The sequence below is a fragment of the Homo sapiens genome, chromosome 12 (genome assembly GCF_000001405.40).
Source record: "Homo sapiens chromosome 12, GRCh38.p14 Primary Assembly".
Taxonomy (NCBI): domain Eukaryota; kingdom Metazoa; phylum Chordata; class Mammalia; order Primates; family Hominidae; genus Homo; species Homo sapiens.
Window position 1 is genome coordinate 104,916,328 of NC_000012.12, and position 26,314 is coordinate 104,942,641.

Below are 26,314 nucleotides of genomic sequence, written 5' to 3' on the forward strand. Positions count from 1 at the left end.
TAGTTTCAGAAGGAATGGTACCAGCTCCTCCTTGTACCTCTGTTAGAATTCGGCTGTGAATCCATTTTAGCCAAGGTAATTTATAGATTCAATGCCATCCCCATCAAGCTACCAATGACTTTCTTCACAGAATTGGAAAAAACTACTTTAAAGTTCATATGGAACCAAAAAAGAGCCCGCATCGCCAAGTCAATCCTAAGCCAAAAGAACAAAGTTGGAGGCATCACGCTACCTGACTTCAAACTATACTACAAGGCTACAGTAACCAAAACAGCATGGTACTGGTACCAAAACAGAGATATAGATCAATGGAACAGAACAGAGCCCTCAGAAATAACGCCACATATCTACAACTATCTGATCTTTGACAAACCTGACAAAAACAAGCAATGGGGAAAGAATTTCCTATTTAATAAATGGTGCTGGGAAAACTGGCTAGCCATATGTAGAAAGCTAAAACTGGATCCCTTCCTTACACCTTATACAAAAATTAATTCAAGATGGATTAAAGACTTAAATGTTAGACCTAAAACCATAAAAACCCTAGAAGAAAACCTAGGCATTACCATTCAGGACATAGGCGTGGGCAAGGACTTCATGTCTAAAACACCAAAAGCAATGGCAACAAAAGCCAAAATTGACAAATGGGATCTAATTAAACTAAAGAGCTTCTGCACAGCAAAAGAAACTACCATCAGAGTGAACAGGCAACCTACAAAATGGGAGAAAATTTTCACAACCTACTCATCTGACAAAGGGCTAATATCCAGAATCTACAATGAACTCAAACAAATTTACAAGAAAAAAACAAACAACCCCATCAACAAGTGGGCGAAGGACATGAACAGACACTTCTCAAAAGAAGACATTTATGCAGCCAAAAAACACGTGAAAAAATGCTCACCATCACTGGCCATCAGAGAAATGCAAATCAAAACCACAATGAGATACCATCTCACACCAGTTAGAATGGCAATCATTAAAAAGTCAGGAAACAACAGGTCCTGGAGAGGATGTGGAGAAATAGGAACACTTTTACACTGTTGGTGGGACTGTAAACTAGTTCAACCATTGTGGAAGACAGTGTGGCGATTCCTCGGGGATCTAGAACTAGAAATACCATTTGACCCAGCCATCCCATTACTGGGTATATACCCAAAGGACTATAAATCATGCTGCTATAAAGACACATGCACATGTATGTTTATTGCGGCACTATTCACAATAGCAAAGACTTGGAACCAACCCAAATATCCAACAATGATAGACTGGATTAAGAAAATGTGGCACATATACACCATGGAATACTATGCAGCCATAAAAAATGATGAGTTCATGTCCTTTGTAGGGACATGGATGAAACTGGAAATCATTCTTAGTAAATATCACAAGGACAAAAAACCAAACACCGCATGTTCTCACTCATAGGTGGGAATTGAACAATGAGAACACATGGACACAGGAAGGGGAACATCACAATCTGGGGAATGTTGTGGGGTGGGGGGAGGGGGGACGGGGTAGCATTAGGAGATATACCTAATGCTAAATGATGAGTTAATGGGTGCAGCACACCAGCATGGCACATGTATACATATGTAACTAACCTGCACATTGTGTACATGTACCCTAAAACTTAAAGTATAATAATAAAATAAAATAAATATATATATAAAATATATATATATAAAAAGAAAATAAACCTATTCACTTTTAAACATATGACAAAATGACCAACTTCAATCATAATTATAGAAATACAAATGAAAAGGTGAAAAGTTTTCACTGATGAGATTGGTAAAGATCAAAAAGTTGGAAAATACACTTTTGCTAAGAGTATAAGGACATAGGCACTCTTTTGCACTGCTTGTGAAAACGTAAATGTTTAACTTCTTTGGTGGAATCTGGTAATACCTATCAAATGTAAAATGACCAAAATTTTGACTCAGAATTCTACTTCTAGGAATCTGACCTATAAACAAACTTGCATATGAGTTCAAAAACACACCCATATAATGACTCTTCTTCATCATTGTTCATAACAGCCAAAGATTTGAGGCAATTAAAATCCCCTTCATAAGGTAACTCGGCAGATTAATTATGATACATCCTTGTATTAGTGCATTATCTGTCTGAGAAGAATTTGGTAAATCTGTGTGTACCTACAGTGAAAGAGCTCTAAGACAAATTAAGAAGATCAAAGTGAAGAGCAACATTATAGAGTGTTACTTAGTTTTTGTTTTTTAGAAAATATATATATTAATGCAAATACATTCATTTCATGTCTGTTGAAGGAGATACATGAAAAAAAAAAAAAAAAAAACTAAAAACAGTCATTTCTAAGGAAGGGCCCGGGCTAAGGGTGCATACAGCAGAGGACAGACTTTTTTCTCCATCACTTACTCTTTCATACTGCTTAAATATGCTTAACCAGGTACACATATTACTTTTTTTAAATTAAACTTTTTATTTTGAAGTAATTGTAGATTCACATGCAGTTATAAAAAACTAATACAGAGAGATCCCATGTAACCCTTACCCCATTTTTCCCCAGTGGTATCTTGCAAAAACTACAGTACAATATCACAACCAAGATATTGGCATTGATACAGTCAAGATATAGAACATTTCCATCACCACAAGGAGCTCTCCTAATTCTCTTTTAGAGCCATTTCTCTCCACTACTAATACCTCCTTAACCACTGGCAACCACTAATCTGTTCTCCACTTCTATAATTTTATCAATCAGAGAATTTTGTATGAATGAAGTAATACAATCTATAATATTTTAAGATTAGCTTTTCACTCAGCATAATTCTCTGGAGATTCATCTAGGTTGTTGCATGTGTCAATAGTTTATTTCTTTTTGTTGCTGGGTAGTAGTATTCCATCATATGAATTTACCAAAGTTTAACTCAACTGTTGAAGGACACTTCGGTTGTATCCAGTTCTTAGCCACCATGGATAATGCTACCATAACCATTCTTGTAGAGGATTTGTATGAACATAAGTCTGCATTCTCTGGGGATAAATGCCCAGGAATGCAGTTGCTATGTCACATGGTAGTTAATATTTAGGGTTTGTTTTTTTACAGAACTGCAAAAGTGTTTCCACAGCAGCTGTACCATTTTATATTCCCAACAGCAATGCATGATATCCTTTCTCTACATGCTAACTCCATCCAGTGTTGTCACTATGTTTTATTTTAGCCATTCTGATAGGTGTGTAGTGATAGTTCATTGTGGTTTTCATTTGCATTTCTCTAATGGCTAATGATGTTGAACTTCTTTTCATGTGTTTATCTGCCATCTGTATATGTTCTTCAGTGAACTGCTCTGGGTCTTCTGCCAATTTTCTAATTTTTTTTTAACTGTTGAGATTTAAGAGTTCTTACATATACTAATCCTTTGTCAGATAGGTGGTTTGAAAATATTTTTTCCCACTCTGTAGCTTGTCTTTTCATCCTTTTAGCATTGTTCAGAGTAAACTGTTTCTTTTATGAAATCCAATTTATTAATTTTTCTTTTTATGGATCATGTTTTTGGTGTCAAGTGTAAGAACTCTGCTTAGTCTGAAATCCTGAGATTTTCTCCTGTTTTTTCCCTAAAGGTTTTATCATTTACATTTCATATTTAAGTGTGTGGTCCATATTGAGTTAATTTTTCTATAAAGCACGAGACTCAGGTCAAATTTATTTGTTTGCCTATGGATGTTGAATTGCTCCAGCACCATTTGCTGAAAAGGCTATTTTTGCCTCCACTGAATTGCTTTGGCACCTCTGTCAAAAATTAGTTGGATGTATTTGTGTGGGTCTCTCTCTCTAGGTTGTCCATTCTGTGGCATTGATCTCTGTGTCTATCCATCCTCTAATATCATGCAGTCTGGATTATTAAACCATATAATAATTCTTGAAATTTTTCCTGTCTCAAAATTGTTACAGCTATCCTATTTTCTTTCCGTTTGGATATGAATTTTAGAATAATCTTATTTATATCTACAAAAAGTCTTGCTGGAATTTAAAAGGGAATTCTGTTAAACATTCAAGATGACAAGGAAAAGTAATGCAGAAATTTATCAGAGAAATTTAACAAAGAGATTGAAATAATAAAAATAAAAGAAAACAAATCGTAAAACTGAGAAATACATTTGCTGAACTGATAAATTCATTGAAAGCTCTCAACAGAATGGATCAAGCAGAAGAAAGAGTCGGTGAGCTATTTGAAAATACACAGAGAAGAAAAAAAGAAAAAGAAAAACAGCCTGCACAACAAAGCAAGACCCTGTCTCGACAAAATTTTTTTTAAATTAGCTGGATATGGGCTGGGCGTGGTGGCTCACACCTGTAATCCCAGCACTTTGGGAGGCCGAGGCAGGCGGATCACAAGGTCAGGAGATCGAGACCATCCTGGCTAACACAGTGAAACCCCATCTCTACTAAAAATACAAAAAATTAGCTAGGTGTGGTGGCGGGCACTTGTAGTCCCAGCTACTAGGGAGGCTGAGGTAGGAGAATGGCATGAACCTGGGAAGCAGAGCTTGCAGTGAGCTGAGATCATGCCACTGCACTCCAGCCTGGGTGACAGAGCAAGACTCTGTCTCAAAAAATAAAATAAAATAAAATAATAATAATAATAAAAAATTAGCTGGGTATGGTGTCACATGCCTGTGGTCCCAACTACTTAGGAACTGAGGTGGGAGGATCACTTGAGCCCAGGAATTTGAAGCTGGGCTCCAGTCTGGGAGAAAGAAACCCTGTCTCTTAAAAAAACAAGAAGGAAAAAAAGGATCAAAGATTGTCTACAAGCTATAAAAAACTACCTTGAAAGACGAAATCTAATAATTATTCATATTCAAGAGGGAGTTGAGCAAGAGCAAGGGATAGAAAGCTTATTCAAAGAAATAAAAACTGAAAACTTTCCAAAACTTGAGAAAGCTATAAATATCCAGATACAATAAGGTCAGAGAACACCAGATCTGACCCAAATAAGACTACCCCAAGGCATATAATAATAAAATCTCAAAAGTCAAAGAGAGAGAATCCTAAAAGCAGCAAGAGAAAAAGAAGAAATAACATGTGAAGGAGCTCCAGGTCATCTGGCAACAGACTTTTCAGCAGAAACCATACAGGCCAGAAGAGGGTGAAATAACATTTTCAAAATGCTGAAAGAAATTTGAAAAGAAAAAAAAAAAAGCTACCATCCAAGAATACTATAACCAGCAAAGCTATCCCAGACAAACAAAAGCTGGGAGAATTCAGCACCTCTAGTTTTGTCTTATAAGAAATACTAAAGGGAGTTCTTTGACCTGAAAGAAAAACACACTAATGTGCAAAAAGAAAACAGTTGAAGATAAAAAATCCACTGGTAAAACTAAGTGCACAGCAAAACCAAGAATACTCTAATACTGTAATTAGGGTGTGCAATCCGCTCATAACTCTAGTATGAAGCCTAAAACACAAATCTATCAAAAACAATAATAGCTACAGCAACCCATTAAGAGATAGGCAATATAAAAATGTGAAAATTGGAATAACCAAAGGTCAAAAATGGAGGGGGTGGAGTTAAAGTGTAGAGTTTCTTAGTTTTTTCTTTGTTTCTATTATTTTCTTTGTGATCTAAGATAAGTTGTCATCTCTTTAAAATAACATTATAAGATTTTTTTTTAAGCCTTATGGTAACCACAGTGTAAAAATCTATAACTTATTCACTAAAAATAAAAAGCAGCAAATTGAAACATGCAACTAGAGAAAAATCACAAACGAATCACAGAGGAAGACAGTAAGAAAGGAAGAGTTACAAAACAGGCAGAAAATAAGCAACAAAATGTCAATTGTAAGTCCTTACTTATCAATAATAATACTGAATGTAAATTACTCAATTCTCCAATGAAAAGGCATAGAGTGGCTACATGGGTAAAGAAACAAGACCCAGGTTTCTGCCTACAAGAAACCCACTTCATCTATAAAGACACACCTAGACTGGAGGTGAAGCAGTAGAAAAATATATTCCATGCAACTAGAAACCAAGAAAAGAGCAAAGAATAGCTATATTTATGCTAGATAGAATAGACTACAAATCAAAGACAGTAAAAGAGAAAAAGAGACCACTATATAATGATAAAGGGGTCAATTCAGCAAGAAGACATAACAATTGTATATATATATATATATCCACCCAACACCAGAGCTTCTAAGTATATAAAGCAAACATTTATAAATCTAAAGAGAGAGAGATAGACTACAATACAGTAATAGTAGGGGACTTCAACACTCCACTCTCAATAATGAACAGATCAGTCAGACAGAAAATCAACAAAGAAACACTGGAGTTAAACCACACATTAGACCAAACAGACCTAACTGATAATTAGAGAACATTTCACCCAACTGCTACAGAAGATACATTCTTTTCATCAGCACGCAGAACATTCTACCAGAATAGATTATATCTTAAGCCACAAAATATTCTCCACAAATTCAAAAAAGTAGATATCAGATCAAGTCTCTCTGCAGAGCACAATGGAATAAGACTAGAATCAATAAGAAGATGAACCTCAGAAACTACACAAACACATAGAAATTAAACCACATGCTCCTGAGTGACCAATGAAATGAAGAAATTAAGAAGGAAATTTAAAATTTAAAATTTTCTTGCAACAAATGAAAATGAAAATACAACATGTCAAAATCTATGGAATACAGCAATAGCAGTATTAAGAGGAAAGTTTATAACAATAAATACTATGTCAAAAAATAGAGGCCGGGCGCGGTGGCTCATGCCTGTAATCCCAGCACTTTGGGAGGCCGAGGCGTGTGGGTCACGAGGTCAGGAGGTCGAGACCATCCTGGCTAACACGGTGAAACTCCGTCTCTACTAAAAGCACAAAAAATTAGCCAGGCGGGGTGGCGGGCGCCTGTAGTCCCAGCTACTCAGGAGGCTGAGGCAGGAGAATGGTGTGAATCCAGGAGGCGGAGCTTGAAGTGAGCCGTGATCGTGCCACTGCACTCCAGCCTGGGCAACAGAGTGAGACTCCATCTCAAAAAAAAAAAAAAAAATAGAAAGACTTCAAATAAACAACTTAACTATGCACCCCAAGGAACTAGAAAAGCAAGAACAATTCAAACCCCAAATTAGTAGAAGAAAAGAAATTAAATAAAGATCAGAGCAGAAATAATGAAATTCAGACTAAAAAAATACAGATCAATGAAACAAAAAGTTATTTTTTGAAAAGATAAAATCAACAAACTTTTAGCTAGACTATGAAAAAAAGAGAGAAGTCCCAAATAAGTAAAATTAGAAATGAAAAAGGATTCATAACAACTGAGACCACAAAAATACAAAGAATCATCAAAGACTATTATGAACAACTATACACGAACAAATTGGAAAACATGCAACAAGGATAAATTCTGGACACATACAACTATTGAACCATGAAGAAATAGAAAACCTCAAGAAACCAGTAACCAAACATAAGCCCCATTTCATACTCTACACAAAAATCCATTCCAGGGAGGGAATGATCTAAATGTAAGAGCAAAACAGCAAAGCTTCAACAAAGTAATGTAATAGAATATCTTAATTACCACAGGGTATGGAAAGATTTCTTAGACGAGAGACATAAAACACAAACTATGAAAAAGCAGGAGGAAAAGAACTATTTCAAAATTAAGAACTTCTGCCACAGAGGAGAGAAAAGATGTTTTAAATATATAGCACTAAATGGCTCATATCCAAAATGTAACTCCTATAAATCTATAAGAAAAACAAATAACAGCTCCCATAAATCTATAAGAAAAACAAATAGAAAGATGGACAAAGAAAGCTTTACCAGTAATATCCAAATATACATCATTAGTTATCACAGAAATCTCTATTAAAACGACAATGAGGTACCACTCCACATGTGCCAGAATTTCTAAAAATAAAAAGACTACTGATTCCAAGTAGAAATAAGAATATAGAGTATTGAGATCTCTTGTACTCTGCTAATTAGACTGTAAATTGGTGCAACCAATGTGGAAAATCATATGACATCTACTAAATTTGAGTATCTCCATATCCTAAGACCTGGAAATTCCATCTCTACATATATACCCAAAAGAAATTCATGCATATGTGCATCAAAAGTCTGGAAGCAGCCTGGTGTGGTGGCTCACGCCTGTAATCCCAGCACTTTGGGAGGCTGAGGCAGGCGGATCACCTGAGGTCGGGAGTTCAAGACCAGCCTGACCCACATGGAGAAACCCCATCTCTATTAAAAATACAAAATTAGCCAGGTGTGGTGGCACATGCCTGTAATCCCAGCTACTCGGGAGGCTGAGGCAGGAGAATCGCTTGAACCTGGGAGTTGGAGGTTGCAGTGAGGTGAGACTGCACCATTGCACTCCAGCCAGGGCAACAAGAGTGAAACTCTGTCTCAAAAAAAAAAAAGAGTCTGGAAGCACCATTCCTCCCAATGTCCATTCATAGCAGAATAGATAAATTGTGGTACAGTATATTCATATAATGGATTACTATCCAGCAATGGAAATAAACTACAGTTTCATGAAATTTATATAATGTTGAGGGAAAAAAAGCCACACACACACAAAAAACCATGTTCTATACTTCCATTATATAGTTTAAAAAGAGTCAAGTAAAACCAAACTATGTTGTTTAGGGATACACACTTATAAAGACAAGCAAAGAGGTGCTTACCAGAAAATCAGATTAGTGATTACCTTTGGTGATGGGGACAAAAAGGGCAGCAATTGGAAGAAGGCACAAGGAGGACTAAAGAAGCAGTACTGGCAAAATTATATTTCTTGAGCTGGTTGATAGTTACATGGTTGTTTATATTACGAAAATCCAGAGTCTCTATTTTTTATTTTATATACTCTAGATGTATTACATTTCAATTAAAAAGTTTAAAAGAGCACATTCAAATAAAGTCTTTAAAAATATTTATATCGGCCAGGCGCGGTGGCTCACGCCTATAATCCCAGCACTTTGGGAGGCCGAGACAGGCGGATCACGAGGTCAGGAAATTGAGACCATCCTGGCTAACATGGTGAAACCCCATCTCTACTAAAAATACAAAAAATTAGCCGGGCGCGGTGGCGGGCGCCTGTAGTCCCAGCTACTTGGGAGGCTGAGGCAGGAGAACGGTATGAACCCGGGAGGCGGAGTTTGCAGTGAGCCGAGATAGCGCCACTGCAGTCCGGCCTGGGTGAAAGAGCGAGGCTCCATCTCAAAAAAAGAAAAAAAAAAATTTATATTACGTTTCTACAATGTTTAACACTAAAGTTTAACATTATAAAGTCCTTAGGGCTAGCACTGTAAAAGTTCATAAAATCATAAAAGGAACTTTTTCCAATTATATGCGTGCTGTTCTCTCAGTATCAGGAAGTAAGTCAACATTACTCCAGATACATAATGAGCTATATAAACATTCTGCTAAGCTGTACTCTAACACCTTAGTCCTATAGATGTTACCATTCTATAGTTAAATACTGAGTGTTTCTTCAGAATAATTGGTATCTCAAGAAAAAATCCAAACCAAAACCAGCCTATTTATTGTCGCAGCTGTGATACTACTATAAGAACCTAAAACAATTATATTTCAAGTGGATGTAGGTTTGCTCTCTCTTTGGTATTATTATCTATTTAAAACTTTAATGTACTGCAATATAGTTCCTCTCATATCCTTTCTCCAACTGATGGTGGAAAAATGTTTCTATTTATGTATATTTTCCATTTAGATAAAAATGTTACCTCTTGAATAGCATCTTAGAGTCACAAATAACCTGAGGTTCCTTTAGGGAACAAACAATGAAAGATAAGAGCACATTATAAGATAATATATCTAATAGTTTCCCAGAGGCAACCTTTCTATGACTGATAAACAAAAACTGACAGAACAAAATGTCACATTTTGGCAACTTATTACTTTAGAAAGATAATTATATAATAGGTATTTGGTAACCACAAGGCATTAAGAACACCTACAAATCGGCTAGACATGGTGGGTCATGCCTGTAATCCCAGCACTTTGGGAGGCAGAGGCAGGCGGATCACTTGAGGTCAGGAGATTGAGACCAGCCTAACCAACATCTCTACTAAAAATACAAAAATTAGCCAGGCATGGTAGCGTGAGCCTGTGGTCCCAGCTACTCAGGAGGCTGAGGCAGGAGAATCACTTGAACTTGGGAGGTGGAGATTGCAGTGAGCCAAGATCACGCCACTGCACTCCAGCCTGGGTGACAAAGCTAGACTGCGCCTTAAAAAAAATAAAAAAAAAAAGAGAATACCTACAAATCAATAAGTAGCACATAAATTTTAAAAATAAATAAAAGATACAAAAAATAATTCACAGAAAAAGAATGGCCAATAAACACATGACAATATGCTAAACATTAATAATAATGTTAATTAAAACATGATAACATTTTCCTGCCATTTGGCAAATATGAAAAAGATCAAGAAGACCCAGTGTTGGCTGGGCACAGTGGTACACACCTGCAATCCCTAGCACTTTGGAAAGGCCAAGGTGGGAGGATTGCTTGAGCCCAGGAGTTTGAGACCCGCCTGGGCAACACAGCAAGACCTTGTCTCTAAAAAAAAATTTTTTTTAATTAGTGAGGTGTAGTGCGCCTGTAGTACCAGCCACTCAAGAGGCTGAGGTGGGAGGGTTACTTGAGCCCAGGAGGTTGAGGGTGTAGTGACCTAGGCCACAGAGCGAGACCCTGTCTCAAAATAAAATAAAATAAAATAAATACCCAATGTTGATAGGGACATGAAAAAATAAAAGTACTTCTATTTTGACAGTAGGAGTATAAATTGATACAAATTTTTTGGAATGCGACTTGACAGTATCTACAAAATTTTAAACATAGATATTAATTCATACCCTAATATCCAACAATGCTGTTTTTAAATCTATCCTATGAAAACATTACTATATGAATATATATTCTTATAAGGATAGTTATTACAGCACCAATAAGGAAGAATGAGTAAGTAAATTTTGGTATATACATACAATGGAATATCATGCACTCAGTTTAAAATGCAGAAAATCTTTGTATACCAATTTGGAGAGATGTATTATTAAGCAATGAAAATAAGTTGCAGAAAAATATATGCAACATTTTATTTTTATTTTTGGAAAAACTCTCATATGTATATATGTAAGCATAGAAAAGAGGCTGCAAGTGTATACAACGAACACTTCACAATGATAATCTCTGGAGAGGAGGAGAGTTTTGATTCGGAGATAAGGAATAGGAGAAACTTCATGTTTTATTTAATACCCTCTAATGTTTGAAGTCATTTTAATGAGTATATATTAATTTTTATTTTAAAAGTAAGAAAGTATTTAAATATAACATTTTGGGAAGATTTTCTTTTAACCAAGCTCTTCCAAGGTCTGTAGAGAAGAGTTACTTTACAGTCAGAATAACTATTCTTTCAGAATTTCTAAAGGGGAAAAAAGAAAAACTCCCACCTAGAAATAGATTCTCTCCCAGAGTCAGCATCTGTTCATTTTACCAAGGGATAAATTAAATCTAAAGTGAATGTTTGAGAGTAGTAACCTACATAAAGCATTTTAAACAGAAATGGAATAACAAAAAAAGACAGTAAAGTTAAATAAAGATGAAAACCCACCTGTACTATATCCAGTACCATGCCAGCTGAAACTGTTCCAAAACCAGCTAGCAAAAAGGGCACAAGTATTTGCAATGCCATGATGCCACTGGATTCCTTTGGTAATTTTGGGGTCACTTCTACAATAGCATCTTCATCACCATCACTAGATATATCTTCATCTTGTAACATGGCAGTGGTTTCTGAAGTCTCCCTTCCATCACAGTAATTATAATTGGCATAGTCATCATACTTTTGGCTGCAGCTTGATGATGCGTGCCCATTATTGGCATGAAAAGACTGCTCTGAGAAACTGTGATACTCCATGTGTTGCTCAGATCTATTACTAAAAGTCTGTACTGCAGTTGATAATCCATCTTGCCAAATGCCGTTTGCTTTTTTGTGCCTGTCTTCTTGGTTTTTCTGGTAAATCACTGGAACCATACTCAAGAGTAAATTTAAAAACTTGTCGGATTGAATTGTGTTTAAACGTAAAGTCCAATCTACAAAACCTCCTCCACTACTTGGACCACCACTTGTTTTATCGGTAATAGATCTTCCTTTACTATTAGTCATATTGTCATCACAAAAGACCCTGTACTCCTTAGATCTCAAGCTTCGGGAACCACAGCAGATGAATCAGAACCGCACAAACACTGGTTTAAATTAAGTTGTTGACTTCATTGTGTAGAAAATATTTCCACTAATAAAAGATGTTCAGAAGTTCCACAGAAGGACTGGATCTGGAAAAATAAAATAATTTTTAAAAATCAGAGAAACAAGATAGTTTCAGTATCAAGATAGATACTTCAATTCTTATAAAGGTATTAAAAACACATGTTCTTAAACCAACCCTACGGTACTGATACTATACTTTGTGGGCTTAAAACATAACTGTTTTGTGCCACACAACTGCTTTGTGTACAGAAATATAATACAGAGCTATTTTTGTGCTCAATCTTGGTTAAAAGTATTTCTTATCTTTGCATACTTTATGTGATCAATATCCACGTAAGGTCTTCAACTGCCTCTTGAAATCCCACAGTGGACAAATGTTTTAAATAAAGTAATGGCTTTTATTACTATTGCAAGGACTCAGAATCAAATTGCTATACCCTTTGCATCTGTCAGTACACAACAAAAGATATATGGCATTATACTTTAAACATTAAATAATAAACCATATTACTTTATTTACAACTTAATATAATATACATTTTATTATTAAGATATGAAGAGACAAGGATGATGTTTACTATAAAAACACTTGGTAGGTATCCTGAATACTATATAGGGCATTTATTTCACAAATAAAATGAGGCTGGAGTCATATTTGTAGTTCTGAGATATAAAAGCTCATTATAATTGATTTAGGAATATAAACCTTCTTTCATTTAGGAATAACAAAACTAAAAAGAAATTACAAATATTCACTTAAACCTCCATTTGCAAACCAGCCAGAAGAAAGCTTGTAACGCACTTATTTATGCCCTGCCCTGTCCATTCATAGTTCTCAGTCTGCTCTGGCCCATAATCCCAGGGTAGAACCCTGACTGGCTGGCCACTCAGTGACTAGAGTCTCTTTGAAGACTTTGAACTAAGAGACACAAACACATAACTGTGGCACATCAAAGAGTGATGGGCACTGAAGCTGCAAGGTCACCCACGACCTGACCAGGAAGAAAACCTGACAATTGCTGCCATAGCTGGCAAGGCTTTCCAAGCTATCAGGTGTTTCTCAGAAACACCTAGGCCTGTCTTATACTTCCAAGAGCATCTAAGACCAAAAAAATGGCACTGATTTGATAAGGGATGGGTGGCCCCAAAACCTAACTGGACTGCGTTCCTGCCAAGCTAGACTGAGAATTGTTGCTGCTACTATTGCTGCTTTTAATGAAAACTACTATATTCCTCAGTATTTGTTTCCAATGTCTTAGAATATCCATCTCCTCTCTGGATAGGAAGATCAATAGCAAGGAATGGCAAAGGGAGAAAGAGAAGGGGCTATGTAGGACGTAAGTGGGTGTTAGGGCCTGGTTCATCAATTCCATCACTCACTCACTTTCCTTTCCTCTCTCTTGTGATTACAGAGGGGTCTGGGATCTGGGAATTCCTTCTGAGGAACATTTTTAAAATACAGATTCCAGGACACCAGACCTACTGACTCAGAATGTGTGTGTTTGAGGCCCATAAATCTTTTTTATTTTTAACTTTTCCATGTGATGATTATGGTGCAGACTTCCTGTGGACTTGCAATGAGTAGATTAAGCACTAGTTCCCATTTTTGCCACTTATAGGCTGGCCAGTATAGACAGAAAGTTGGTGTTTAAAGAAAATCAGATTAATGAAACCAATGGCCAGAGTGAAGCAGAGATAAAACGATGTAGTCCCCGAAAGAGAGAAAAGGGCAGAGAGCCTTCCAGGTAATGAAAGGCTGAGCTATACATCTGGAACTTAGGAGATTCCCTTCAGCTTCACATGAGTTAGATTGAGTGGGTGTCTGTTCCTTCAACTCATCTACCTTTTTAAAAAGTAGTGAGTATTTCACTGCCCCAATAGATCTTTAATCAAATAAAATGCAAAACAAACCCCAAAGAGATTGAGCTATAAGACAGGTCTATTCCATAGGAGGACCAGTGATAGGAAACTTCCCTCCTGATGCAGAATTACCAGGATGATCAAAATGGAAATGCAGAGAAATGTAGGTAAACAAGAAAGAGAGATGACAGTGTCACCATTCAGCCATTCTAAAGTTCAGAAAGCTCAAAATCTGTGCTTTGAAAACCTGACCAAATAGCAAAACTAGGTAGAAAAATAGAGAGGAGAGAAAGAAAACAAGGGGGAATTTCCCAAGACCAGTCATCTCAGAATTTCCCAAGATCAGTCATCTCGCAGAATATGTGCAGAACGTGGCTAAGCACATAGTCAACACTGAACTGGCCAGGGGGATCCAGATGCACAGACACATCCAGGTCATACTTTTGCTCCTAGTATTCTTACTTCGGTATAAGCTATCCAGAAGTTTAGATGCAGAGATGGATACTCAACCAGGTATACCATACACAGAGACCATCCAAATGTGTACAAAATTAAAAACAGAGTGCCTCCTGGAAAAAGGAAGCCCTGTAAATGGAGCTCTGGGCTGGATTTTAGCCCACGCTCTGTCCCCTCAGCAAGTACCTTCATGCAGTGCAGAATCTGCATAACCTTACACATCAGACTAGGCAGTTGGGTAAAATATGAAACTGTGCTTAAAAGACAAAAAACATATATGCTAGACAGATATTTTTTGTTGTTGTTTGCTCAGCATCTTTTCCCAATTCCTTTAGCTAATGGTATCTCCATTACCTATGGTAAATCCATTTCCCTATTCCATGAGATTCTAGTAGGTATATCAATCACAGTACCCTACCCTGCAGACCACAATAATGACAAATGGCTCAAGGAGGATCTGAGTCCCTTCCTGGAATTTTATATATTTGCTGCTTACTATTTCCTGAGTGCCTACAAGATGCTGGGGCTACAGTAATGAAACAAATAGGCACAGTTACTGCTCTGATGGATTTTACCTTGTAATTGGAAGGAAAAACAATAATCAGGTAAGCACATAAATAAAAGAGATAATTTGTGATAAAGGCTATGGAGGAAACAGTTGATTAAACAAAGAATAAATGACTTACAGGGCTATTTCAGAGGGGAAGGCCTTTGGGGGAAGACTTTCCTTTGGAATGACTTAATTCTGAAACTTTCTGTCACTGTGTCTTCCTCCTCACAAAGCTCCTTCTACCACCACCATCATCACCACCACTTGGAAGAAAGCCGTCTACATGAGAAGAGGATCTACAGAAAGAGGGAATCAGAGCTAGGCGGTAAGAGAGTCCTGACAACATAATTAGAATCTCTATACCATTTAGTTAAAACCCACTCCATTCCTGTTCTTCCCAACTATAGGCCAATAAATCTTCTTCATTGCTTAAGCTACTCTGAGTGGTGTTTCTGTCCTAACAGCTGTTTTTGTTTTTGTGTGTGTGTGTTTTTAAATAATATAGTTTGAAAGTGCCAGGAATGACCTTGATACAAGTATATGCCACAGACCACATATCACCATCATGCATTGAGGAAAATGTGGGCCTTTTAAAATTTTATCCTTCTTTTTATCTGGTTAATGAATACTTATCAGTTATTTCAATGCTTGCTTATTGACAAGGTCTATTATCTCCTTAATGATTCCTTAAACTTTCTTCCTTTAACTAAATAAATCACCTATTATAAACTCTTCTCGCTGAATAATGAATTACAATCAAAATAGCTTTGTGAGCAGTCCTAAGCAAAAAGAACAAATCTGGAGGCATCACATTACCTATCTTCAAACTATACTATAAGGATATAGTAGGCAGGGTGCAGTGGCTCATGCCTGCAATCACAGCATTTTGGGAGGCCGAGTCAGGAGAACTACTTGAGCCCAGGAGTTGGAACCAGCTTGGGCAACATGGCGAAACCTTGTCTCTACAAAAAATGCAAAAATTAGCTGGGCATGATGGCGTGCACCTGTAGTCCCAGCTACTCGGGAGGCTGAGGTGGGAGAAGCACTGGAGCCTGGGAGGTCAAGGCTGCAGTGATTTGTGTTTGCCTCACTGCAGTCCAGCCTGGGTGACGCAGTGAGACTTTGTCTCAAAAAAAAAAAAAAAAAAAAAAGATATAGTAACCAAAACAGCATGATACTGGTATAAAAGTAGATATATAGACCAAAGGAAGAGAATAAAGAACCCAAAAATAAAGCCAAATACAACCAACTGATATTCAAGAAGCACATAAAAACATAAATTGGGAAAAGGACATTCTATTCAATAAACAGCGCTGAGAAAATTAGACAGCCACATGTAGAAGAATGAAACTGGATCCCTATCTCTCACCCTATACAAAAATTAACTCCAAATGGATTAAAGACTTAAATCTAATACCTAAAGCCATAAAAATTCTAGAAGAAAACCTAGGAAAAAAACTCTTCTGGACATTGGTGTAGGCAAAGAATTTATGGCCAAGACCCCTAAAAGCAAATGCAATAAAAATAAATAAATAAATGAGACATAATTGAATGAAAAAGCTTCTGCAGAGCCAAAAAAACAATCATCAGAGTAAACATAACCTACAGAATGGGAGAAAACATTTGCAAATTATGCAGCCCACAAAGGACTAATATCCAGGTTCTACAAGGAAGTCAAATCAGCAAGAAAAAAACAAATGATCCCATCAGAAAGTAGGCAAATGACATGAATAGACACTTCTCAAAAGAAGACATACAAATGGCCAGCAAACATATTAAAAAGTGCTCAAAATCACTAATCATCAGGGAAATGCAAATTAAAACCACAATGAAATACCACCTAACCCCAGCCAAAACTCCCATTATTAAAATGTCAATAAACAATAGATGTTATCATGGATGTGGTGAAAAGAGAATGTTTATATACTGCTGGTGGGAATGTAAATTTGTACAGCCTCTATGGAAAATAGTATGGAGATTTCTTAAAGAACTAAAAGTGGATCTACCATTCGATTCAGCAATCCCACTACTGAGTATCTACCCAAAGGAAAAGAAGTAATCACATCAAAAAGACACTTGCACGCGTATGTTTATCTGTTTATTACAGCACAACTCACAATTGCAAAGATATGGAACAAACCTAAGTGCCCATCAATGAATTAGAGGATAAAGAAAATAAATACACACACACACATACACACACACACACCCATATATATACACCATGAAATACTGCTCAGCCATAAAAAAGAAAAAATAATGTCTTTTGCAGCAACTTGGATGGAGAGCTAGAGGCCATTATTCTAAGTGACGTAACTCAGGAATGGAAAACCAACTACTGCATGTTCTTAGTTTTAAGTGGGAGCTAAGTTATGGGTATGCAAAGGCATACAGAGTGGTATAATGGACACTGGAGACTCAGAAAGGGGGAGGGTGGGAGGAGGGTAAAGGACAAAAACCACCTATTAGGTACAATGCACACTACTTGGGTGATGGGTGCGCTATCCCAGACTTCACCACTATACAATTCATCCATGTAGCCCAAAACTACTTGTACTCATAAAGCTACTAAAAAAAAAAAATTGTTTAAGTTTTATGGTCGATTTAAAATGGGCATTGTGCATATATACCACAAAATTTAAATCATTTGTTCTATATTTGTTATCCATCAATCCATCAATGAATGGAAAAAAAAGTAAATTAAAAAAATAAGAAATAAAATTGGGCAGTTTCCACTGGCTTTACTGTGCTTAAAGAGTGCCATTGGGATATTTATCTCTAGCTACTTTAATAAGTTATGCTAATCTAATAGTAGCACAGCTGGGAAGAACCAGTGTCTTTAAAACTCCTAGGATTCTTACTTCAGTATAAGCTATTCAGAAGCTTAGATGGCTTAGGTTTAAATTCTGGACTCTCTTTGTAAACTATAAAGCAACAAAATGCTTAGATGAAAAGATCCACTACTTAATTCCTTAATGGCCAATATTTGTACAAGACAGACGTTTAGAGAAAAAAAAAAGAGCATCTACAACAGGTACAGAAAGTAGAGTGGTTAAAATCATGGCTTGGGATTCTATCTGCACTCCCATGTTCATTTCAGTATTGTTCACAATATCCAAGATATGGAAGTAATCTAGGTGTTCATCAACAGATGAATCGATAAATACAATGTGGTTTATAAACTACAATGGAATACTATTCAGCTTTAAAAAGTAAGAAAATTCTGTAATTCTTGACAACATGGACGGAACCGGAGGACATTACGCTAATTGAAATAAGCTAGGCACAGAAAGAAAAATATTGTACTTATGTGGAATCTGAAAAAGTTGATCTCTTAGAAACAGAGAGTAGACAGGTGGTTACAATGGGCGGTGGGGAGGAAGAGGAATGGGGAAAGGAAAGTTGTTGCTCAAAAGGTATAAAGTTTCAGTTAGACTGGGAAAGAAAGTTTTTGTTTTTTTTGTTTGTTTGTTTGTTTTGAGATAGAGTTTCGTTCTTGTTGCCCAAGCTGCAGTGCAATGGTACGATCTTGGCCCACTGCAACCTCCGCCTCCCAGGTTCAAGCAATTCTCCTGCCTCAGCTTCCCAAGTAGCTGGGATTAGAGGGGCATGCCACCACGCCCGGCTAATTTTTTGTATTTTTAGTAGAAATGGGGTTTCACCATGTTAGCCAGGCTGGTCTCAAACTCCTGACCTCAGGTGATCTGCCCTCCTCAGCCTCCCAAAGTGCTGGGATCATAGGCATGAGCCACCACGCCCGGCCTGGAAGAGTAAGTTTTGGTGATCTATTGCACTGTATGTTGACCACAGTTAATAATGTATTCTATGTTTCAAAATGCCAAAAAAAAATAGATTTTCAATATTCTCACCACAAAAAAAAGTCAGTGAGGTGATGTATATGTTAGTTATCTTGATTGAATATTTTCTATAACGTATACGTAGATCAAAATATCACATTACATATCATAAATATATAGCTATTATTTATTAAAAATAAATAAAATTTAAGAATTATTGAAATTGTTCATGTACTGTCAATAAAAATATCAAGCATGACTCAAAAATCCTGGATTAAATTGGATGTAACAAATGTTGTTATTTACTGGTTTTGTTCCAAAGACTCTTTAGGTGCTACAGGCAAACAACACAAAGGCCACTCTGACTACAGTCACGTACTGCCTAACAACATTGTGGTCAAGGATGGACCACATATATGATGGTGGTCCCATAAGATTACAATGGAGCTCAAAAATTCCTATTGCCAGCCCAGGTGCAGAGAGCTCACGCCTGTAATTCCAGCACTTTAGGAGGCCATGCTAGGTGGATCACTTGAGGCCAGGAGTTTGAGACCAGCCTGGCCAACACGGCGAAACCCTGTCTCTAGTAAAAATACAAAAATTAGCTGGGCATGAAGGCACACACCTGTAATCTCAGCTACTCGGGAGGCTGAACCATGAGAATTGGTTGAACCCAGGAGGCAGAGGTTGCAGTGAGCCAAGGTTACACCACTGCACTCCAGCCTGGGCAACAGAGCGAGACTGTCTTAAAAAAAAAAAAAAATTCCTGTTGCCTAGTGACATCATAGCTGTAAAAATGTCATAGCATGAGGCATTAGCCACATGTTTGTGGTGATGCTGGTATAAATACACCTACTGTGCTGCCAGTCATATAAAAGTATAACACATACAGTTACATATATGTAGTACATAATATTTGCCAATGATAATAAATAATGATTTTGTTACTGGTTTATGAATTTACTATACTATACTTTTTATATTATTTTAGCATGTATACCTGCTCCTTTGTGTGCTACTGGCCCAGGAAACCTTGCAGTGGGGCAAGATGTGAAGGTGGAAGACAGTGATAGTGATGATCTTGACCCTATGGAGGCCTATGCTAATGTGTGTGTGTATTAGTCCATTTTCATGTTACTGATAAAGACATACCCAAGACTGGGCAATCTACAAAAGAAAGAGGTTTAGTTGGACTCATGTGGCTGGGGAGGCCTCACAATCACGGCAGAAGGCAAGGAGGAGGAAGTCACATCTTACGTAGATGGTGGCAAGCAAAGAGAGAGCTTGTGCAGGGCAACTCCCATTTTTTAAAACCATCAGATCTCATGAGACCCATTCACTATCATGAGAACAGCACAAGAAACACCTGCCCCCGTAATTCAGTCACCTCCCACTGGGTTCCTCCCACAACATGTGGGAATTACAGGAGCGACAAGATGAGATTTGGGTAGGGACACAGAGCCAAACTATATCAGTGTGTGTCTTAGATTTTAATAAAAAGGTTTTTAAAAGTAAAAGAAAAAAACAAAAATTGAAAAAAGTATATAGAATAAGGAAACAAAGAAGGAAAATATTTTGTGCAGCTGTACAATGTGTGTGTGTTTTAAGCTAAGTATTATTACAAAAGTCAATATTTTTAATATTTAAAGTTTATAAAGTAAAAATGTTACAGGCTGGGTGCAATGGCTTATGCCTGTAATCCCAACACTTTGGGAGGCCAAGGCAGGAGTTTTCCTTGAGTCCAGGAGCTCAAGATTACAGTAAGCTATGATTGTGCACTGCACCCCAGTGGATGACAGAGCAAGACCCTGCCTCTAAACAATTTTTTAAATTAAAATTGAAACAATGAAAAATTAAAAGTTGCAGTAAGCTATAGTTTAACAAAGAAAAATATTTTTGTACATTTTGTGTAGCCTAAGTGTGTTTATAAAGTCTGCAGTAGTGCACAGTAATGTCCTAGCCCTTAACATTCACTCACCATTCACTTACTGACTTACCCAGAGCAACTTCCAGTACTGAAAACTCCATTCATGGTAAATGCCCTATACAGGTGTATCATTTTTTATTTTTTATACTGTGTTTTTACTATACGTTTTCTATTTTTAGATACACAAATACTTACCATTGTGTAACAACTGCCTATAATATTCAGTAGAGTAATGTGCTATACAAACCTGTATAACACGTTACTGTACTGTAGCCTAGGAGCGATAGGCCATACCACACAGCCTTGGCGTGTGGTAGGCTCTACCATCTAGGTTTGTGTTAGCATACTCTATGATACGCAATGATGAAATGCATCTAACAACACATTTCTCAGAATTTATCCCCATCATTAAGCCCTTCATTAAGTGATGCATGACTGTATTTAGTGCCTTAGATTCTTGTTATCAAAGTGTGGTCTTGGGTCCAGTGGCATGGCATCAACTGGGAGACTAAGAAATGCAGGACCTCAGTCAGCTCCCATCCCAACTCAACCTCCTGAATCAAAGTCTGTACTTTAAATGGTATCCCAAAGGATTTGTGTTACTTTGAGAAGCACCTCCCAATACATTCAAAAAGGAATCATTTGATATTACCAGGCTTTCAAGTGTGAACAAGGATGTAAGCAGTGGTAATGCATACAGCCCTACTTGTGCAAGTATAAACTGCCAAAAGCACTTTGGAAAACAATTTGGCATTATCTACCAAAACTGAGAGGCATGTGCCCCACAGTCCAGCATTTCCATCCTTAAATCCCTGCCCTAAAGAAATTCACACTGTACACCGGAAGACACATGAAAGAATGTTCTTGGTAGCATTATCCATACTAGCAAAAAAAAAAATGGAATTAATCCATGAGAAAGGATAAATTGTGGCATATCTATACAATGGAATATAAGAATAAGGATATGACAAACACACATTTCAAGAGTGCTTACATTTGGTGAAGTGATACAAAAGCACCCAGGAGGTTCCAAAGGTATTGGTTATATTTTTTAAGCTTGGTGGTGGATACCTAGTGTTTATTATTGTTCTTCAAATTGTGCATATACAAGACTGCTTCGATGTGATTAATACTGTGATGGATGTTATTATTACTCCCCGTTATTGGTCCCCTCCTACAGGAGGATTCTCGTCTCTACCTGTTGCCATGTTATTTGCAAGGACTGTAGGAGAATTCTACTTCCTCATCTCCATTAGCATCAGGTTTGGCCATGGGACTCTCTTTGGCCATCAGAATAAGAGCAGCAGCAACACTTACAAACAGAAACAATTCAGCTATGTCTCTTTGCTCCCTCTGTCATGAGAATGGCATGTCCTAGGCAGTTGCTGCTTCTTCAGACTGGGTCCCAAGACAACGACAGATGGAGAGATACAGCAACCACAGCCACCCCACAGCAATCAACAGGGTACACATAACAGGAGAAAGAAATAAAGCTTTGTCCCAGAAAGCCACTGAGAGTTTGGAATTGTTTATTATCACAGCATGACCTAACAAAAGCTAACTTAAAAAGTATATGTTTTAAAAAGTAATCTGACCCACAAATTCCTATCCATTTTAGTTTAGGAGAGTCTCTCTGATATACTGAGCACTTAAAGATTGCAGTCTATGGACAAGGAGTTTTAAAACACTGGCTTCCAAACATTTGAATCTCAAAAACCAAAATTTCCTCCCAAAATTTTACAAAGTTAAAAACAATCTTTTCCTAAAAAATAAGTATACATTTTAACACCAAAAATGTAGAAAGGACAAAATCTCAGACTAAAGGGCAGTCCTTTTCACTGAACACATTTAGATTTATGGAAAAGTTCATTTCATGTTTCCTGTGAGACCTTTGTCATAGTTTACCACTGGTTTATAGAGTCATGTCAGGGAATCATTGACTTAAAGGAAAATAAGACCAGACACTCCTTATGAATTCAACTTTACTTACAAAAATAAAAAAGGGTCTTGTTCTGTCACTCAGGCTAGAGTGCAGTGTTGCAATCATAGCTCACCAAAGCCTCAAACTCCTGGACTCAAGTGATCCTTGCACCTTAGCCTCCCGAGTAGCTAGGACTATAGGTGCAGGACACCACACCCAGCTAATTTTTAAATAGTTTGTACAGACAGGGTCTTGCTATGTTCCCCAGGCTGGTCTCAAACTCCTGGCCTCAAGTGATCACTTCCTCCTGCCTATGCCTCCCAAAGTGCTGGTATTACAGGCACGAGCCACCATGCCCAGCCATAAAATTGCTTATTTTTAAAAATAAAGAAAACAAAGTATATTGTATGTATGTGGATTTACCAAACCAGAATATTGGAGAAACTCTGCCTATCGTACTGAAAGAGGCATTCTGTTCCATTGCAAAAGTTAAATAACAATGCTTAGGAAATCCAGTAGAGCTGAAAGTCAGGAGACACAGGTCATTCCTAATTACTAAGGATGGTATTAAATCAGAGTTTAACATTTTGTTTTCTTCCCACAACAATAAAAGAAAAAGTTTTAATGCAATCTATTACCAGTAATTATTTCATTTAGTTGAATATCCCAGAACTTGTTGAGCAGATATGTATATTTATATAAACATACTAAGATCCACAGTACTATCAGACACACATACACACATACAGACACACCTAGAAATAGACTTATTTTATGGTTATTATATATTCTTACTTTTGCCACTCTGCAAGGGTACCTTGTTCTTTTAATTTTTTCTTAAAGTATACCTCCTCTACGTTTCTGTTTCCTATTATTATTATTTTTTTTTTGAGACGGAGTTTCACTCTTTTTGCCCAGGCTGGAGTGCAACGGCGTGATCTCGGCTCACCGCAACCTCTGCCTCCCAGGTTCAAGCGATTCTCCTGCCTCAGCCTCCCGAGTAGCTGGGATTACAAGCATGCACCACCACCCCGGCTAATTTTGTATTTTTAGTAGAGATGGGGTTTCTCCATGTGGGTCAGGCTGGTCTTGAACTCCCGACCCCAGGTGATCCACCTGCCTCAGCTTCCCAAAGTGCTAGGATTACAGAAGTGAGCCACCGAGCCCAGCCTTATTATTTTTATTTTTATTTTTTTTAAAAAGGCTCACCTGGGGGGGAGGGGGGAGGGATAGCATTAGGAGATATACCTACTGTTAAATGACGAGTTAATGGGTGCAGCACACCAACATGGCACATGTATACATATGGAACTAACCTGCACGTTGTGCACATGTACCCTAAAATTTAAAGTATAATAAAAAACAAAAAAATAAAAAAATAAAATATAAGCTAAAAAAAAAAAAGGCTCACCTCTAAAATGGAATGAAAGTATCTGAAAGTATCTCCCTTTTATCTCCTTTTTTTTTTTGGCTAAAATACATAAAGTTAGCTCCTGGCCGGGCATGGTAGTTCACACCTATAATCCCAGCACTTTGGAGGGCCAAGGCAGGTGGATCACCTGAGGTCAGGAGTTTGAGACCAGCCTGGCCAATAGGGTGAAACCCCATCTCTACTAAAAATACAAAAAATTAGCTGGGTGTGGTGGCAGACGCCTGTAGTCCCACCTACTCAGGAGGCTGAGGCAGGAGAATTACTTGAAAACGGGAGGCAGAGGTTGCAGTGAGCCGAGATCATGGTGATCCCGACCTCAGGTGATCCGCCTGCCTCCGAGTGACAGAGCAAGACTCTGCCTCAAAAAAAAAAAAAAAAAAAAAGTTAGCTCCGAAGAAAAATCTTGACTTTTTGGCTTAACCTAGAAACTTTCCACTGAAACTGAATTCAAGAACTCACATAGGTTTCATTTAGGGAACAGAGAGTGAAATCAAACTTTCTTAACAAGTTGGGGAACATGGAAGAGAGGTGAAAGGACAATCAACTGTCATGTCGGTAACACCAAATTGCTATAAAATGGGTATTCCTGAATTATCTGCACAAACACAAAAGCTTGAGAGCTTGAGACATCACAGACACAATTTTGCTACTGATACCCCAGAGCTAGCTGATTCCATAAAACAATTGCTCATTTCTAGGGTTGCCCACTGACAGAAAAGAATAATGTCATAACATTTATCAATCCTAAAGTTTCTACATGACTAAACATTTGTAAAGCATTTGTTTAAGCCTACAGAATAATGGATCCATTGAATAAATCCTCTATATAATAAATCCTCAATACATCGCAAATAATTTTTCAAATAAAACCAGACCCAGAGCCACGGATTTTGTTCTCAGAATCACAACCCTCAACTCTCGCCTCCCAAAAAAAGTTAATATAAATTTTTTAAAGGAATTTTTATTTGGAAGAAGGATATATCAAAAGCAAGCCAATGAATCAACTCAAACACAATCCAGTTAAACCAACTCTTAACTGAGAAAATGTTGACAGAATAAATATGCTATGTGTCCAAAGAACTAAGTGGATTGCATAAACAGAGTACAGTTCATTCTATCAGTTAGATTATATCTAGCTCCTATCAAACCAGGCAACTGAAAAGTGAAAAATATCAAATAGCTAATGCATGTGGGGCTTAAAACCTAGATGATGGGTTGATGGGTGCAGCAAATCACAATGGCACACGTATACCTATGTAACAAACTTGCACATTCTGCACATGTCTCCCAGAACTTAAAGTAAAATTAAATTTTAAAAAGTGAAAAATAATTCAGTCATTTAATTTGGAATTATGATTAAACTGACAGCAATGAATAAACAGTTTTTATTCATTCAAACAATTACCAAAAGTATTAGTGTTGCTGTTTGAGACAAGTCAACCAGTAGATGGATGGCAAACAAGGTGAATTAGAGAACTCTATTTTGAAGTTGAGAAAGTGCTTTTAAACAACAAAAAAAAGAGGTATATTTATTCCCCCTACTCTGTCTTAAACATTTCTTACATGTATCTTATTTTTAAAAAACCACCAAACACTTAATGACTCTCTCTTACAATTGACATGTGGCTGGGCACAGTGACTCACACCTGTAATCCTAGAACTTTGGGAGGCCGAGGCAGGTGGATCGCTTGAGCCAGGGAGTTTGAGACCAGCCTGAGCAACATGGCAGAAACCCGACTCTACAAAAATACAAAAATTAGCCAGGCATGGTATCTCATGCCTGTATTCTCAGCTACTCTGGAGACTGAGGTGGGAGGATCACCTGAGCCTGAGAAGTCGAAGCTGTAGTAAGCCATGATCATATCACTGCACTCCAGCCTGGGCCATAGAGTGAGATCTTGTCCAAAAAAAAAAAAAAACCATGTTAAATTCATTAATTTCCTGCAAATGATTTCAGAGAACTTTACCTCCTCATCACTCAGCACCTCCTCCCCTATACAGTCACAGGAACGTTTATTTAGAAATTACAGCTATAGAAGGTCTTGCTACTTAAAAATAGTATTTTTGCT

At 37.3% G+C, this 26,314-nt stretch overlaps 1 protein-coding gene across 21 annotated transcripts in view, besides 3 other annotated features; it reads right to left on the reverse strand.

Moving 5' to 3' along the window:
- The window catches only part of SLC41A2 (solute carrier family 41 member 2), a 156,946-nt gene that overhangs the window by 114,527 nt on the left and 16,105 nt on the right, over window positions 1-26,314 (reverse strand). For 14 of the 21 annotated variants that reach the window (NM_001387125.1, XM_047429648.1, NM_001387128.1 and 11 more), the window contains exon 2: window positions 11,646-12,367. In NM_001387125.1, the coding sequence (NP_001374054.1) occupies window positions 11,646-12,200 (555 nt within the window). In that variant the 5' untranslated portion in view covers window positions 12,201-12,367. Of the gene's footprint in view, window positions 1-11,645; window positions 12,368-15,304; window positions 15,465-26,314 lie in introns of those variants that run through there. The other 7 variants (NM_001352169.2, NM_001387126.1, NM_001352170.3 and 4 more) reach the window with 2 other exon arrangements.
- Window positions 13,004-13,298: a silencer, noted in NCBI's record as "tiled region #3023; K562 Repressive non-DNase unmatched - State 22:ReprW". NCBI's record gives its function as "represses a minimal TATA promoter and a strong SV40 promoter by Sharpr-MPRA in K562 cells {active_cell/tissue: K562}" and the evidence as "EXISTENCE:reporter gene assay evidence [ECO:0000049][PMID:27701403]".
- Window positions 13,004-13,298: an enhancer, noted in NCBI's record as "tiled region #3023; HepG2 Activating DNase matched - State 8:EnhW". NCBI's record gives its function as "activates a minimal TATA promoter and a strong SV40 promoter by Sharpr-MPRA in HepG2 cells {active_cell/tissue: HepG2}" and the evidence as "EXISTENCE:reporter gene assay evidence [ECO:0000049][PMID:27701403]".
- Window positions 14,197-14,626: an enhancer, noted in NCBI's record as "active region_6938". NCBI's record gives its function as "activates an Ori minimal core promoter by ATAC-STARR-seq in GM12878 lymphoblastoid cells {active_cell/tissue: GM12878}" and the evidence as "EXISTENCE:reporter gene assay evidence [ECO:0000049][PMID:35858748]".